This window comes from Homo sapiens, chromosome 2 (genome assembly GCF_000001405.40).
Source record: "Homo sapiens chromosome 2, GRCh38.p14 Primary Assembly".
Lineage (NCBI taxonomy): Eukaryota > Metazoa > Chordata > Mammalia > Primates > Hominidae > Homo > Homo sapiens.
This window is the reverse complement of record NC_000002.12, coordinates 111,307,878-111,324,447: the sequence shown is the minus strand read 5'-3', so window position 1 is coordinate 111,324,447 and position 16,570 is coordinate 111,307,878. Positions and strand designations below refer to the sequence as shown.

The window sequence follows — 16,570 nt, the reverse complement described above, 5'->3', positions numbered from 1 at the left end:
CACCTGCCTCGGCCTCCCAAAGTGCTGGGATTACAGGCGTGAGCCACGTCGCCCGGCCAAGATGGGGTAATTTTGATGTCCAGACACAAGTTGTCATTTAAGATGAAGCTTCGATTGTAACTCTATGAAGCCCTGCTGAATATTAAAAGCTTATAGAAAGCAGCTTTTCTCCCCCAGGCAAAAAGAGCCCTTTGATCTGTGGTGGGACTTTGCAAAAAGCTGAGCTGCCACTCAAAGAAATAATTCCCCGCTAACTGCAAGTTTCTGTCTTGTTTATGGAGGGCCTGTTGAGAAGGCCCTCCAAACCTTTGGTTCCAGGGTCTGGCAAGGGGAATCTGTCATCATTCATTGCAAACTACACCTCCACCCACTGGGCTGAAGACCTGTGCAAGGATAGACCAAGAACTTCCTCTGGGGTGGCTGTGCTCATGGATGCTGATTTGACAATTTCCAACCTCCCTCATTACCAAGATCCCCTTCCTTCACCTGTGAAACCAAAATTCCATCTTCTTCTCTTCCCTCCTTTGTGACAGAGTGGGGAAAGATGGGGACTGAGGGAAAGGAGAGTAGAAACTCAGTCCCTTGAGAGATGGGAGCTGATGGGAAGGAGGTAGAAACTTGGTCCTTTAGCCAGGAGGCTCTGCAGGCATTCAGGCCTGATCTACCATGTAAGGTGATTTCTTTCTTTTTGGAAAGCTCCCATTTCATGGGGTGGACAGGTCCAAGGACTGCTCTGGACCACTTGGTGATCACATGGGCCGAAGTAGGGGTAGAGGACCCCAAATTGAATGTGTGGAGGGGACTCTGAAGCAGGTGTGAATGCCAGGAGAGGTGGGAGGAAGGACAAGGGCGGTGCATCAAGACCACAGAAGCCGGCCCGGCCAGCCTTCCCACAAAGTTACTTGAACTGAGCTCTCCATAAGTACACATGCACACACACCCAAGAATAAACTGGACAAATGGCAGCAGAAAGAGAAAGAACAGAAAAGAGAGCTGATGAATACATCCATAATCAGCACTAACACAGCCCTGGAAAGAAAAGCAAAAAGAAAAGGCAAGCGCTGTGGTGTGCAGCTCTTATTGTCTAATAAAAGAAAATATACCAATTCTTTGGGGAATTTAATTTTTTCTGGAAATAAATTCTTGGAAGAATTTATGTGACAGAACACCCCAGGGGAACATCCTTGCGTTAGGAAGGAGGCCACCTCGTCTGGCGGCCTCGGGCATTCCAGTGATGCAGGGGAGGGGCCCAGGCAGCTGTGCTGGTCCAAGGGGCTCCAGGTAGAATGAGCTGTATCCTTGGCCAGAGGATGTTGCGCATCCTCTGGGGGGATATGACGGGAGAATGATGGGGGGAGTTGGGGAGATGTCCCCAGGTATTACAAGTGGAGGCTGGGGACTACCACTGTCAGTTCATTGTCAACTATGTCCGCCTCATAGACAGGGCACAAGCCTATCCTTAGGGACACACGTGAAGAGGGGAGGCAGGAAGATTCAGGCGCGCTCTCCGGCCTAGACTGGCTGAAGGAGGGAGATTTTAATGCTTGGCATAGGTGGTGAGGGGTCCACCAAAGGTAGGAACACATCCCTGGGGCTCTGGGAGGAAGAAGCGTCAGGACTGCAGCTCCAGCCTCTTCAGGCCCAGGGTCCTAGGGTGGAACAAGGCTGGAAAACTGGTGCATGGAGGAAAGAAAAAAAATGGGAAGGGAGAATGGACAGGTAGGAAGGAAGGAAAGGAGGAAAGGGAAATGGAGGAAGAAAGACATGGAAAGCTGGGAGGACAGAGGGCAAGGCAGAAGGTAAAGGAGGCAAGGCCAAGGCTGTGAGGAGGAATTCCGCTTTTATTCTGCTGTCTGGCTTCATGCCATTGCATGGGGCCCTGTAAAATAAAAAATGATACCTCCCAGGGCTATTGGTTTTTATCTTAGAGGACTCTGTGGGGAGATGTGGAAAGCTGTTCAAGTGGCAAGGCTTGGGAGCTGAGTTTCATGACGATGGCCGTCTAGGGCTGTTCAAAGTTAAGATGACAGATTGGCAGAGTGCAGGGAGGTGAGAGAGTATTGGGGAAGTTTTCCATACAGGGGACCATGTAGTGTTTTGCTGGGAAGATAGACCTGGGTGGAGGTGAGACTGGTGGGTGCCACAGATGATTCTAACTCCTGCTCCTTCTCTTGTCCTTCCAACAAACCAACCACACATGTAACATAGTCATAAGAGCTTGCAGGGAGGAGAAAAGAGAGATATCAACAGACCAAGGGAGACAGAGGGTGGAGGGCCATGCTGTGGACAGTGAGGGGAGGAGGTCCTTCCTCTCCGCCACTGCCCTCAAGGCTGCTTGAGGCTCCCACGCTGAGGTGTCCACCTGGCTGAGAGGCTGCTGCTTATCTGTTCCCCAACTTCTCCACCTGCTGGTGCAGCTCTCCCTTGCTGTGCTAGGAGAGAACCCACTGGGAGGGTCTTGGCATCTCCAAGTGGGGCCCTCCTGCTGAGACACTGGGTGGCTGTGGAGGGAGCTCAGCCCTCATTCCTCCCCGAGCTCATATCTACAGAGCAGCAAGTCTCCCCACTCCACCAGAGGAGAGCACAGGAGAGCTAGGCAGCTGCCTCCACCAAGACTTCACCCAACCACGGTCCTTCACTCCCACCAGGACAGGACAACCCAGCCTCCCGGGTCCCAGGAGGACTTGGCATGGCTGAGGACACCCAAGAGGAACCACCAGCCTATCCCTGAAAAAGCAAAGACACTTTGGGGAACAGAAGAGCGTCTTAAAAGATATCAACTTTGACTCAGAGATTTCAAGAAGACGCTCTATCCAAAAACCAAAGAAGAAGTGTCAAAGCTGTTGTAAATGTTTAAAAGAATAGCCACCTTGATTGCATTTTGAGTGAATTGTGAATTCCCTCTCCCTGGGTCTTCCTCATTCTTCTACATCCTCCCCATTTCTGTACTGAATTTATAGCAGACTGAATTTGGAAGTTGATTTGAATGTTTAAATATATGAGACACTCTTTGTTACTTTGGAATGAGTAAGGCATTAATTCTTTTACGTTTTGATTTTTAAAGGTTTTATAGAAAATTGCATGTTTCATCAGGAAAAAAGTTATCTAGTTCTACTCAAAATAATATCTTATGGAAACTTTCAGAGTTTCACCAGACAAAATGCCCCAGGCTTTGGCTTTGCAGTTGGTGTCTACAGCTGAGCCTAGTCCTTGAAGTAATCATGACTCAGCTTATTCAAAATAAACTCTTCAAGAATTGCAAACTCTCCTCTCAGCACATGCCCTGTGACCTCCATGTCCCTCCATTACATCTCCTCAGAGTAAGGCCCAATGCCACTGACTCATGGGGGAACCACAGGCAGCAAATGGCCAGAGCTCACACAGAGGGATGAGTGCACTTCACCTGCAGTGTGACTCAGCAGGCCAACAGATGCTATCAGGGAAGAGCACTAAAAACCAAAGGGTGGCTGGCTGCGTCTCAGCATCTGTCCGCGAGAAACACGATGCCATGGTTATTGTGTGATTTTGGTGGTAGGCTGCTGGTCAGGTGTCTCCAAGCAAGTTGGTCAAAATGGGAACAGTTGTTTCTCTGGGCGGGCAGGGGTCAAGGCTGGTCTGGAAAAGGCCGAGGCAGCTGCACCCTCTTGAGCCACTGGCCAGCACCTGTGCCCTGTCTGGGGCTTTCCTCTGCCCACAGGAGACCCTTCTCCATGCAGGTGCTGCGTGGCACCAGGCATGAGTCTGAAGTTCCTTCTGCCACAAGCACCCTCGTTATTTGTGATAGTGCAAAAAAGGAAGTCTCTGCCAAGAAACTAACTGAATGTTAGTGCCTGTTCTCAGGACTTTCCATAACCCTGCTCTACTAGGATACCTTTCACCCACTTTGAAAGCAGCCAAAGGGTTAAGTCATCCCAGGTGCATCTCAAAGCAGGGCTGCGAGCAGCAGGAGTTTGAGCTTTGTTGCAATTAGAAGTTGAGTGTGAGAAAGGACATTCAGGCACAGCTTATCTTTGAATACACACGCAGGAGTATCAGGAGCAGTTAGAGATAAACAGCTGGCTAATAAACACATGAAAAGATGCTCAGCATCATTGGTCATTAGGGACAGGCAAATCAAAACCACAATGAGACTCTACTTGACTCCCATTAGGATGGCGACAATACAAACAAACAAACAAAAAAGAAGGTAATCAGTGTGGATGAGGATGTGGAAAAGTTGGAAACTTCAGACATTGCCGTTGAGAATGGAAAATGATACAGCTGTTTTGGAAAACAGTTTAATGTTTCCTTAAAAAGTTGAATAGAGAATTAGCATATGACCCAGCAATTCCATTTTTATGTTTGTACCCCAAAGAATTGAAAGCAAGGACTCCAATAGAGACTAGTATACCAATATTTATTGCAGCATTATTCACAATAGCTTAAAAAAAGTGTAAACAACCCAAGTTTCTGTTGGCAGATAAACAAAATGTGGTATGTACACACAATGGAATACTATTCAGCCATAAAAAGGAATCAAGTTCTTATATATGCTACAACGTGGATGAACCTTGAAAACATGCTAAGTGAAATAAGCCAGGTACAAAAGGACGAATATTGTATAAAAACACGTATATAAGGTACCTAGATTAGTCAAACTGATTGAGACAGAAACTAGAATCGAGGTTGCCAGGGGCTGGGGAGAGGGGAGAATGGGGAGTTATTGGTTAACAGGTACGGAGTTTCAGTTTGAGGTGATGAAAAACGTTTTGGAAATAGTGGTGCTGGTTGTACAACATTGTGAATGTACTTAATGCCACTGCATTGTATACTTAAAATAACTGGGTTAGGGGCATTTATGGATTTTCCTCTCATTGTAGGTCACTAAGAACATGGTGGGAGGAGGAGCCACTGCCTTTATAGGCCCCGACTGCCCCAGAGCTTCATTCCTCACCAGGATGAATGACAGGATTCTGGACTAGAGGGCTCTTGCCTGAGCCACCAGGGCATCCGGGGGATCCCTGTGAGCAGGGTGAGGGTGAGCACCCAGGTTCCACAGGGCTCTGTCCTGGGCAGGCCAGCAGATGCAGTGATTGCAAATCCTCCTTGTACAAATGGAACAGGCACGTGCATTTGTGGCACACTCAGAGCTGCTGGCCACTAGTGTGCTTTGGAGAATCAGTTGTCTCCCAGGCGGGGAAGGTCCCTCAGACATAAAATACTCACCCATTTAGAGGAATGACAACAGCAAAGGAAACTATATTCTGCTAATTTACTGGTAAGAGAGGAAAAACTCTGTCATGCATACACAGACAGAGGCTCTGCCAAAAGAGAGAGGCAGCAGATACAGATATTAGCAAATGACTCCTCTCCAGAAGAAACACACCAGCCAGGAACGGCACTCACACCTGTAATCCCAGCACTTTCGGAGGCCAGGCGGTAGGATGGCTTCAGACCAGGAGTTTGAGACTAGCCTGGGCAACATGGCAGACTCCATCTCTACAAAAAATGAAACAAACAAACAAACAAACAAAAGATCAGTGTGGTGACACACACCTGTAGTCCCAGATATTCCAGAGGCTAGGCAGGAGGATCTCTTGAGCCCAGGAGATGGAGGCTGCAGTGAGCTATGATCCTACCACTACACTCCAGCCGGGGCAACAAAGCAAGACCCCATCTCTTTTTTAAAAAAAGAAAGAGAAAACGAAAAGAAAAAAAAAAACACACGATTTCACCTGCTTGAAGGCCTGTGCTTCTCTTTGTTGTCCCCATGACACTATACCCAGGCCACTGTCAGGGACCCTGGGGGGCTTACAGTGGCTTACTGAAGGCTAGACAGTATCCCCTTGCAGTATCAGTTAGGATTCTATCATCATGAGAAAGAGGCTCCAGCCCGCTCAACGGAGCAAACTGGAAGGTAATGAGGGGCTCAGGGAATTTGTCCTGGGAAGGCAGGAAGCACAACCCTGTCTTATGGCAGAGGCCATCAGTCCAGGGTCCCAGCTGGACCTGCTGATCCTCTGTCCCTGTCTCACTCATTGCAGATGCCACCTCTTCGGTGAGGGCCTGTGAGCTAGGGTTAGGTCACCTACCCTACCCTGTGTGACCACAGGCAGGGAGAGACAGGATTTCACTTCCTAGACTTCCACGGTGGAGGCCAGGCACCTAAGATTATTCTCCCACCCACACCAAACACAGTGGGGGAAAACTCATCCCCAAAAGGAAACTGGGGCCAATAGGCAGGGGTGGATGTGGGGCAGCCCAAAAACCAACACACAGCCACCGACCCCATCAGCCATGATTTATATCCATGCCTTTCCTGGACAAAAAACCAAATCCCACTGCCCTGGGCATCAGCGGGCAGGGCCCACACAGGCTTCATAGATGTCTCCTCTCCGGGAAGTGGAGGGTGTGTTTGTGCATTCGGAGTAGCTGGTGCCTGGTAGAAAATCAGTGCGGTTTTGGCTTTGGCAGAGCAGCCCAGGCTCCCTTTGCATTCCCACAAATCGAGGCAGCTCTGCTGTGCTACTCTCACAGTTTTGGCGGCTTTGACCGCAGGTCCTCCTGAGGCCGGGAGACTGCTGGGGCGTGGTATATCAGTTGTTGGGGGCCGTGCTTCCCCAGGGCAGATGCATGCAGGGGCTCTGGGGCAGAGTGACCGTGGAAGTTCGATGATGTCACCCCTTCTCATGCAGCTGATCGTTGGGTCAGGAAACGACTCTCCTGGCATGAACCTGTTCCTGGTCTCAGCAACCCGCACATTGTGCTGGTGCCAGGTCAAAGGCAGGGCAGGAAGCCAAGGGATGGGGCAGGCCCAGGGGGCAGAGAAGGGCAGGTGGGTGGGATGTCGGGGGCAGGTGAGGGTAGAGCATGTGTATTTACCCAGGCAAGGGTCCGGCCAGGCTCGCAATCAGAAGAGGGAGAGAAGACCCTGACTCCAAGCCAAACCCTTCACCGAGGGAAATGCACCAGCACTCAGAGGGTTCTTGTTTAGTAGGTGAGCAAGCAGCCAAGCATTGGCCTTCCCCAGGGCAGGGGCATAAGGCCGGTGAGCAGCTGAGCCAGGATTTGAACAGCAGTCACCCTTGGTGAGGCAGAAGCAGATGAGGCTATGAATGGGGATGGCTAAGGAAAGGTGGGCTTGCTTGCACTGGGGAGAGGCCTTACTGGGGATTCAGAATTGAGGGCTGGGGTTTGCTTCCCCAGGGGGTAATGGTTTCAGCTGCCTGAGTTTTTATCTCACCCCTTCTTACCTCCTCCTGCAATGACTGACCAACTTCCACTTCAAAGAGATCTTTGATTATGACTCCATGACATCAGTAAGCTTTCAAGTCAGTGAATTTACCTTCTAATGGTGATTGGAACTCAAAGCCAGTTCACAGCTTGACCTGCATACATCAAGCAGCTGGGTGACTGTCAGATGTGTCATCTCATGTGGGAGGAGAATTTGTTAAAGTAGGGAGAGAGGACCTCAGGAAGAGGCCTCTTGAAAGTCTGTGGGTGCCTGAGGCTGGAGGCCACACCTGGCCTCTGGCCTTCAGGACAATCCTCAAAAAGGGATTAGGATTAGCCCACCTGGTTCTCAGTTGGCTGATTGGTTAAAAACGTGAACACCAAATATTAATTTGCTTTTGTTTTTATCAAGCGATTCTATTTGGGGTGGGATGGGGGAGAACGAGAAACATTTTAAAAGTTAGAGTAAAAACCCAGCGCTACATTGCCAATTTCAAGATGAAGTAATAAAGAACTACCTGGGAGGGAGAAGCATTTCTGATGAAGTTAACTTTGCAAACTGAGCATTATGCATTTTTCACTCTTGGTGGTTAATATTGGGAAAGTGTCTGGTGGTCCTTGGGGTTTAGGGTGCTGTCTAAAACCTAGAGCTGCCTGGTTGTGGCCAGTTTTTGTTTTTAACCACGAATTAAGCTTGGATCATTCAGAACAGACTGACTTACTCATCAGGGATGCAAACTCCACACGCCCAAAGCAGTCTCGAGTCTTCAGTCCTGGGTCTCGGCTTCTTTCTGTGTTTCGCAGGCACTCACGCCCCCGTGGGCTCGGTTCTCCAAACAAGCCCTTATGGAAACCAGGCCAGATGTAGGGATTAAAGTTCCCGAATTTCAGCAAAGTTAAATAATAATAGTAGACACAAAACAACCAACCAACACCAAAAGACATAGGTGCAAACTATGCTAATCCCAGCAGTGGAGAGGAACAGGCCTTTGATGATGATGGCCCTGATGGATGGAGGACAATGGAATGCTCTAAACACGAGGCCTCAGGGGACAGCCCCGGTCCTCCTTGTCAGAGCCTGCTCTAGTTTGGGATCCAGCAGGAACCTCAGGAGCCTCCTTCACTTTGGTGGAGAGGACTGAGACTCAGAGCCCCCAAGCACACCTTGGGACGGTCCCCACGCTTCCCTAGGGTGGGTCTGGGGCAGGCCTGGGGCATTTCTATACTGCTGTTTGGGAGAGCGCCCCAGACCTAGTGTCCTGGCTGGGGCAGATGAAGCCAGGGCGCTCTGGCTGGTAGAGGCAGGAGGGGAGGCCAGCCAGGCCCCGCATGACCCCGCATTGACAGGAAGGAGAACGGACACTTTCTTTCAAGGTGCTCAAATGTCCCACATCACTTCTGTGAAAACCCAAACACAGAAGCCACCCCTCTCAGCTGCTACAGGCCAGAAATGAAAATTACTGCAATCCCCAGGAGCCAGGGAAGACCTCTGCTGACATTCCCTATGACCACTGTGACGGTGCCGCCTTGGGCTGCCTCCCCCACTCCGTACAGAGAGCGTTCCAGCCCCAGGCTCCCAGTGCCTGCTCCCAGCGCCTGCTCCCCGGCCTCCATCACTCCATGCCCCAGGGACCTAAAGTAGAAAGCTTAGTTTTCTCCTTGTTTGAGTGCAGTTGGGATAATTTTTAATACATTCCTTTTTGCTCTTCATCAACTTCAAATGTCTCAAGATGTCCTGAGGGCAAAAGAGCTGATTTAGCTCTCAGATTAAAAGAGAGTGGCCTAACGCCTCACTCATTTTGAAATACTGACATTAACGGGGAAAATTACTCAAGCTCTCCTGTTACTTCCTGTGCTTAATTAAGTGGCTCTGCAGGTGACTCACTCCCTTATTTTTCAGAATGACATCAGACTTATTTTCCATTTTAATAGCCTGGTTACTTCATTGATTTTTTAAAAAATCCAATTTCACTTTCCAGTGCAATTTCTTTATCTGATTTTTTTTCTCCACACTAGGAAATGCTAACTCTCGTAGTGGTAAAACTTCGACTTACGAATGCCTCAATTTTTTTTTGAGTCTAGGGCCCCAAATCAGAATTTAAAGAAGAAATTAGAGGTGTAATCTTTATTTGCTAATTACCTAAATAATTTCACGAAGTGTTGGAGTTGTTAATATTATTAACTATTCCTGAGAAGGGGCCCCCGGGGCCACCAAATGAATACTTTGTCTTGGAGGCAGGTCTGTGTCCCTGCAAGAAGCCACATCTGGCTCTCGGCACCCTCCACACCCACAGAAATGCCTCCACTTTTGTCACTTTCTCCATCAATTTGAGAAGGATGATTCCAAATTCAGAAGCTTGTTTTGAGCTCATTCAATATGCATCAGGTGGCGGTAACATCTGGAGGTCAGTTTTTCTTGCAGTTTGGTAAATTCTGTTGTCTAAAGAGAGATGTGAGAATTGCTCATCTTCATATACCACACTTGGCACTCGTAGGTTTGTGAAGCAGCAGATGCAAATGTTTCACATGGTGCTTGGCATTTATTTATTGTTTATTTGTTTATATTTTGTTTTTGGTTTGTTTGTTGGGTGTCTGGGCTGGCCAGGTGAACTTCATTTTCTGCCCTCACTGAGAGCTTTTCCTCCATTCAGCTCTGACTCTGTTTCCCCATAGGAGCCACACCGGTGAGGGCAGGGAGAGGGTGCTGGTTCTGAGCCAACTTTGCATGGAAGGCCCAGCAGACCACGCTCATTACTTACAGCCAGCATCATCGGGGAACTCCGGCACAGACCTGTAGTCAGTGCCCCACAGCGCCCCAGCCTTCTCTCCCGACAGGAGCGGCCAGGACAGGGAGCAGAAGGTGACTGCTGTGCTGCCTGGAGCTCTTCTGTCCGGAGGTTTAGTGAAACTAGAGAAACTCAGTGGACACACTACAAGACTTCAGAGATACTTTTTGTAAACCCAGGAAGAATCAAAGATATGAAACATGCAGTAGGCACTCACTAAATGTTAATTTTCTTCCTTTTTAAATATTTGCATTATGATAGTTAAATTAATGACTGCACGACTGGAAGAATACACACTCTAATGATTCTTTTCCCTAAAATAAATGTGTCCACTATTTGCTGTCTACCTTCTTGAACATCCTGCTTCCTCTAAATAACTAAGGAGATTGATTCTACACTAACATCCAGTTGAAGCAAAGTTGCGTCATGATAAAATCTGGCATGGGCTATCCCTTCAAAAAGTTCTTTCTGAACCATCATGACCATAAATTGCACTAGGCAGGAGGTGGTGCTGGAGGGACAAAGAAATGCCAGCCAGTGCCTGCACTGGAGTTGCCAGCAATCACACGGGAAGGCCTCTAGTCTAGAGAGACGGGTAGGAGAGAGATGGGAGCACATCAGAGGAGCACAGATGCTAGTGCATGGGTTAAATAGTCTCTTACACATCTGGTTAAGATCACCTCAAATTGCTGTGGGGTTCCATAGCTCTCTACAGCCCAGTTCCAAGCTTCTGCTCTCACTGGATTAGTTCCACGGATACATGGTCCTCTGCATTAGCTGGGTTCTCTATCTTGGGTGACATCAAACCTAGAGATGAACTCTAGCCCCTCACTGATACCTCACAACTCAGTCTCAGAAGACATTTTTGCATGGAACAGACTTTAATGAATGGTGGGTGAGGGGGTGCCTGCTATTGAATGAATAAGTATGGGGGGAATTAGTCACAGGACTTCATACTGAGCATTAGAGTCCGGAGTCTTTGTTCTTGGAAGTCTTCAGCTCCCGCCCGGTCCCTGAGGATCTTCCCCCGACTGCTTGATCTTGCATCATTGCCCTCCCTCCCCGAGGGAGCAACACAGAGCGGCCCTAGTCCACTCTCATGATGCCTCCATTAATCCCCCGGTCAGGGACCTTCCAGCCCTGCCCACAGCAGTCGATGCCTTCAGTGCATCTCAGTCTTCCACCCCCAAAAGCGGTGGGGGGTCTCTGTGCGGGATCACCCCTCTCCTAATACCCCTGGTCCCAGGAGATGGGGAGGATGGAGACAAGGCCAGTGTGGGAATGAGGTGGCAGGCTTCTCAGGACATGAGCTGCCTTGCTCTGCCCCCTTGGGCCTCATGGCCCCCATTCTCCCTGCTGGAGTTGATGTTCTGGCAGACCGGGCTGTCCCTTGGCCCAGTTCCTGGAATACCAAGTAATTAGGTCATCATCGGGGCAGCGGAGGCCAGCCTCTGATGTTCTGCGGCATGTTACGTGCTCTTGGGGCCTCTGTTTATTGGGGCTACATTGCCCTTTCTTTGCACAGCTGGCTTTGTGCTTGCTACTAATTTTTTTTTAAACTGAAGAATCCATTGTTTAGAGATCACACATAAATGGTAAATTATAAAGAAAAACAAGTGGATGACCGACATAAAAATCAGGAGGTTTGCTAGCCCTGGTGAGGGAGGGAGGAAGACACCATGTGAGAGAAACACAGGACCGTTTTGTAAGATGCTGCTTTTTTGTTTTGTTGTTTTGTTTTGTTTTGTTTAGCATTGGGTGTGGATACTCAAATGTTCATCTTATGATTATTCTTTAAATCGTTCAGGTACATTTTATACAGTCTTCTGTATGTGTGATGCATTTTATAATATGAGTGGTATACTTCACAATCAAAATCACTTTTAAGAAGCTCTTTTGCCTTGGCTAACTCTCGTTTGCCGTTTCCCCAGGGCCAGCCAGCCCGGCGGAGCATGGGGAGGACCTGAATCTGCCCCGGCACTGTCTCTCCTACCCTCCACAACATGCTCAAGTCACATCCTGTCCTGCTTTCCATTGCCTCTGGTCACTGTCACTTGCCAACATTCTGAACATCCCACTGCCTTCAACCCTCCCCACTTGTTCAGCACAATATGGAAAGTGAAAAAAAAAATGAGTTGCAGAGAGCCTTGCTTCCGGGTTTGGAATCCAGCTCCATCTTGAGTCTGTTTAGAGAGGTATGAGTGCTTTCTGATGTAGGGCACTTATCACTTTAGCACACAGGGGGCTGTGTGATGGCCCAGTAAGAGCCTGAGCTTTGGAGTTACAGAGCCGGGGCCTTCTCAACTCCATCCCTCATGGGTGGCATAGATGGTTCTTCCCTCCCTGCTTTCTCTGACTAGGATTAACTTCCCCCTGAGCCCAGGACACTTGTTACTCTTGTGCCCTAACCTTCACGTCATCTTTCCACCATCTTCCATCTGCAGCTTTCTCAGGTCATCCGCTCCATGGAGGTCCCCGTTCCTACCTTGGCCTTGCCTTTCCCCCTGCATGTAACCTTGGTGAACTTTTCACAAGAGTCTGCGCAGTCTTCTTGTAAGCAGATTAATGCCGAGGAAAAGCCTTGGTGAATGCACACCCCACCTACCACCTCCAACCTTGCACAGCTGGCCGGGGCAGTCGGTGCCAAGGATGCCTCATGGCCCTTCGGACTCTGAACCTGCTATGGGTCCCACTGGCCAGACACGTGCTTTCCTTTTGGAAGTGCTTGTCTCAAACATAGACACATTGAACCAAACCATTGTGTGTGGGCTATTGGAAGGGGTGCACAGATTCATTTGTTGGTTGCAGCAAATGCTTGGTTTGGCAAATGCTTGAGGGCCTTGTGGCTGGAATAGCTCCACTGCATGTCTGCAGATCTGTCACGAGGATCCCAGCTCAGGTGGGAGAGGATAGGGGCTATTGGTCAGACTTTCTCAGGCCACGCTATTCCCTTCCTCCATGCAAGGCAGCGCGGTATGAATGCTTTAGATGGGCCTGGGTGCAAATCACTGTGTGATCTTGGGGAAGTTGCTCAGCCTGTCTGAGCCTCAGTTTCTTGAAGCATCAAATGAGGATGATAATCTCTGTTTCTCAGGGTCAGCAAGGGACTTAAATGAGAAAATTGAGGTAACCCATGGGCAGAGCACAGGGCACTTTGTGAGCACTCAGTAGGTGCAGGCTCCTTTCTCCTCCCCTCTGCCTTTCTCTCCCCACTTACCCCTGTCAAGTAACTTCACCTCTCAGAAAGCCGCAAAAATTGTCCAGTGTCTCCCTCATTCCCAAGACCCCCACTGGCCCCTCACCCAGTGGCCTCTCAGGGCACTCCCCCGTCCTCAGAAGTCCTATCCCAGCGGAGATGGAATCCACATAGCTGGCCCTTTCCTCCACACGACCCTGCCAGCGCAACCCTTCCCCGTATGATTACGATTTGTTTCTGGTTGTTTACCATGAGAAGCTCACTGAAGCAACGAAGGCTTCCTAGGTGCCTCTAAAGAAGCAAGGTAAATTTTAGAACCTTGGTTTAAAAAAATGCTGCGCTGTGCAGAGAAGCCCGTGGAGAGAGCCCCGCTGGTGAGGAAGCACGGGGACCCTGCTGCAGGGCTGGTGGAGGGCTCCTTCTGTAGACTTCTGAGCTTGGAGCACAGATGGGCAGCACACAGGTGAAATGTGATCCTCTGTGGGGCTGTGTTTTCTGCCCCAGGAAGAAAGAAGAGTCAACAACTTAATTATTTCGTCATGGTTTTGTACAAAGCTTGAGAGGAGGAAAAAGGTTCCCTTTTTTGAATAATAGACAGGAGTTACAGCCTGAAGGGAGCCTGCTCAGGGCGGGCAGGGCTGCTGCTGTCCCATTGGCATCAGAGACGTGCTGCTGTCCCGAAGGCTCCGCCCTCCTCTGACTGGCTGCTGGCCCTGGCTCCTGCACTACTATGGCCTTTTGGCTCAGGTGCATCCTTCCTGGAGGCTGGAACTCATCCCCCGCCCCCGGCATCACCTCCATAGCCAGGGGGCCACCCAGGAAACGCAAGCCAACATCTGGGGAGGCCAGCCATCTCCAGGCAAGTTGGAGACCAAGAGAACTGTGTGAATTTAGACTCTTGGTAGATGCTGCCTGACCCTGGGCTGCCTGGAGCACTGCATCCCTGTTGCCTGGCACACAGTAGGGTTATTGTCTCTGAGTAGCTGGGTGAATGTAGGTCAGAGCTGGGAGGCACTGTGGGCTTTCATAGTCAAGGTCACATGGCTCATTAGGGACAGTGCTCGAAACATTTCAGTAGGGACTCACCATTCAGTCAACAAATTTTGGTTGAGCATGTATTATGTGCCCGCCACTGCATTAGGAGCTAAGAGTACAGTCAGGAACAAAAGAGCATTCAGTGTACTCCAGACAGATGTTAAACAAATACATAGAAGCCAAATTATGTACAGTGCTAAGAGGAATGGCATCCAGGCCAGGGCAGGGTTCTCCCAGGTGGTGGCATTTCAGGATGAGTGACATTGACCACGTGGAGAAGTGAGAAGAGGGTCTCAGGTGAGGGAGCAGCTTGTGCAAAGGCCCTGGGGAGGCCCGCACTGCAGGAGCTGGGGAAAGGGAAATGTGGTAAGAGGTGAGGAGGAGAAGGACCTGATGGTGAGGATATCACAGTCTGATTTTCATTTTTTAAAGAACACCTTGGTTCCTGCAAAGGTGGGAGGGGAGGAGAGGGGCATTGGTGAGTCTATGGGTGATGATTGCAGGGGGTGGTGGCTTGTGGTGCCCTGTCACTCACCAGATCAGTGACTGTGGCAAGCAACTGGCCTCCCCAGGCTCAGCTTCCTCCATGTGACTTGGGGACGCATGCTTCACAGCACTGTTGTGGGGCATATATTATTGCAAGGGGCTGGTGCTGGGAGGGAGCCAACACTGCCACTCTTCCCATGCATACCATCCTATGCTTCCAGGGGAAACCTAGACTTTACACACTGGCTTTTCTTCTTGTTTTAAGATAGAGAGAAATTCTTAATTGTAATGTGGTCAAGTGTGTCAGCCTTTTGTCGCTTGGTTTGTGCTTTTTGAGTCTTCCCCAAGAAGTCCCTCCTTCTCACCATGAGGTCATAAAGGTGTTCTCTCGTGACTGGAAAGTTTCACGTTTCCACTTAGGTCCTTGAGCCATCTGGAATTTGTGTCTGATTTGGTGCAATCCAGCTCTCCTACAGCCTGGCTGGGAGACTTGGAGCAAGTCGGGCTCCCTGTGTCCCCAGCTAACAGATGAGAAGATTAATTAGGCCATCTCTGTGGCATCTTCATCACCTACAGTTGCAAACATTCAGTCTTCCTTGCTGCAGCCTGTGACCAGGGTGATAGTCCAGTCAGCGTGATAATAAAATAATCCCGCCGACTTCCATGCTGCAAAAATGCAGCCACGCCGACATAGCATTGGCTGTCCTCCCCAGCTCTCTTCCAGAAACAAAACAAAGCACCTCAAAGCAGGTTTCCCAAGGCCCACTCACGGCCAGAACTTTGCTTTAAATCATTCCCCTTCGACAGTTTAGTTTTAACTATACTGTATGTACCCAAGCCAAGGATGGGAGGAGAAGCCTCAGTAACTAGAATTGTTATTAAAACCATATATCCAACTCCACTGGCTTTTCTGGAAACCTCTACCTAAAGGACGTTTAAGTCGTCTATTAAAATATTTCAGACTTGCCCTGAAGGAGGCACCAAGAAGTGCCACAACTTTGCAGGCTAGTGACCACACAGATGGAAATGTGTCTCTGGAAGCAAGTGGCTGGTGTTAGAAACACACACACACACACACACATACACACACACACTCCCACAAATAAAAATCTAGTCTTCCGTGTTCACTCGAATTATTGTAATAATCACTGAGGATGTGAGACTCTGTATTTAGTCAGTTCTCTAAGTATGACCCAGCCCAGCCGTAAGAAAACATGCGAGGGATGGGTGAAGACCCCACAGAGGAGGGAGAGCCTGACTGAGGGGAGCCAGCCTTCACAGGGGTCCCGGTGGGGATGCAGGCAAGAAACTCAGCCCAAGCTCATCTAAGGTGGAAGGTATGCGTCTGATCAAGATACAGGGGCAGGGAGGGGTGGTGTCCTACAATTCTCAAGGGCCTGAGAAGGAGGCCAGGAGCAAAGTTGTCTGCCCATCAGGTCCCCAGGTCCTACCAAGGCAGAGACCAGCTGGTCTCTCTGTCCCAGTAGAAAATTCCTCTGGAGAGAGAATCTGATTGGCTTGAGATCTGTGATTAATTTTATGTGTCAACTTAACTGGGCCACAAAGTCCCCAGATATTTGGTTAAACATTATTCTAAATAGGAGGCTGGGTACGGTGGCTCACGCCTGTCATCCCAGGACTTTGGGAGGCCGAGATGGGCAGACCACAAGGTCAAGAGTTTGAGACCAGCCTGGCCAACATGATGAAACCCTGTCTCTACTAAAAATACAAAAATTAGCTGGATATGGTGGCGGGTGCCTGTAATCCCAGCTACTAGGGAGGCTGAGGCAGGAGAATTGCTTGAACTCGGGAGGCAGAGATTGCAGTGAGCCGAGATTGTGCCACTGCACTCCAG

The 16,570-nt window shown here is 49.5% G+C and overlaps 1 long non-coding RNA gene and 1 other non-coding gene across 8 annotated transcripts in view, besides 5 other annotated features; both read left to right on the top strand.

Moving 5' to 3' along the window:
- The window catches only part of MIR4435-2HG (MIR4435-2 host gene), a 299,296-nt gene that overhangs the window by 170,714 nt on the left and 112,012 nt on the right, over positions 1-16,570 (top strand). The window lies entirely within an intron of this gene.
- Positions 3,290-3,925: an enhancer, noted in NCBI's record as "OCT4-NANOG-H3K27ac-H3K4me1 hESC enhancer chr2:112078100-112078735 (GRCh37/hg19 assembly coordinates)". NCBI's record gives its function as "activates a minimal SCP1, AML or CMV promoter by ChIP-STARR-seq in naive H9 embryonic stem cells {active_cell/tissue: H9 hESC(naive)}" and the evidence as "EXISTENCE:reporter gene assay evidence [ECO:0000049][PMID:30033119]".
- MIR4435-2 (microRNA 4435-2) lies at positions 3,362-3,435 on the top strand. Its single transcript, NR_039636.1, has one exon. It is a non-coding gene; the product is annotated as a microRNA 4435-2 (primary transcript).
- Positions 3,926-4,562: an enhancer, noted in NCBI's record as "OCT4-NANOG-H3K27ac-H3K4me1 hESC enhancer chr2:112077463-112078099 (GRCh37/hg19 assembly coordinates)". NCBI's record gives its function as "activates a minimal SCP1, AML or CMV promoter by ChIP-STARR-seq in naive and primed H9 embryonic stem cells {active_cell/tissue: H9 hESC(naive and primed)}" and the evidence as "EXISTENCE:reporter gene assay evidence [ECO:0000049][PMID:30033119]".
- Positions 7,055-7,587: an enhancer, noted in NCBI's record as "NANOG-H3K27ac-H3K4me1 hESC enhancer chr2:112074438-112074970 (GRCh37/hg19 assembly coordinates)". NCBI's record gives its function as "activates a minimal SCP1, AML or CMV promoter by ChIP-STARR-seq in primed H9 embryonic stem cells {active_cell/tissue: H9 hESC(primed)}" and the evidence as "EXISTENCE:reporter gene assay evidence [ECO:0000049][PMID:30033119]".
- Positions 13,289-13,796: an enhancer, noted in NCBI's record as "H3K4me1 hESC enhancer chr2:112068229-112068736 (GRCh37/hg19 assembly coordinates)". NCBI's record gives its function as "activates a minimal SCP1, AML or CMV promoter by ChIP-STARR-seq in primed H9 embryonic stem cells {active_cell/tissue: H9 hESC(primed)}" and the evidence as "EXISTENCE:reporter gene assay evidence [ECO:0000049][PMID:30033119]".
- Positions 13,797-14,305: an enhancer, noted in NCBI's record as "H3K4me1 hESC enhancer chr2:112067720-112068228 (GRCh37/hg19 assembly coordinates)". NCBI's record gives its function as "activates a minimal SCP1, AML or CMV promoter by ChIP-STARR-seq in primed H9 embryonic stem cells {active_cell/tissue: H9 hESC(primed)}" and the evidence as "EXISTENCE:reporter gene assay evidence [ECO:0000049][PMID:30033119]".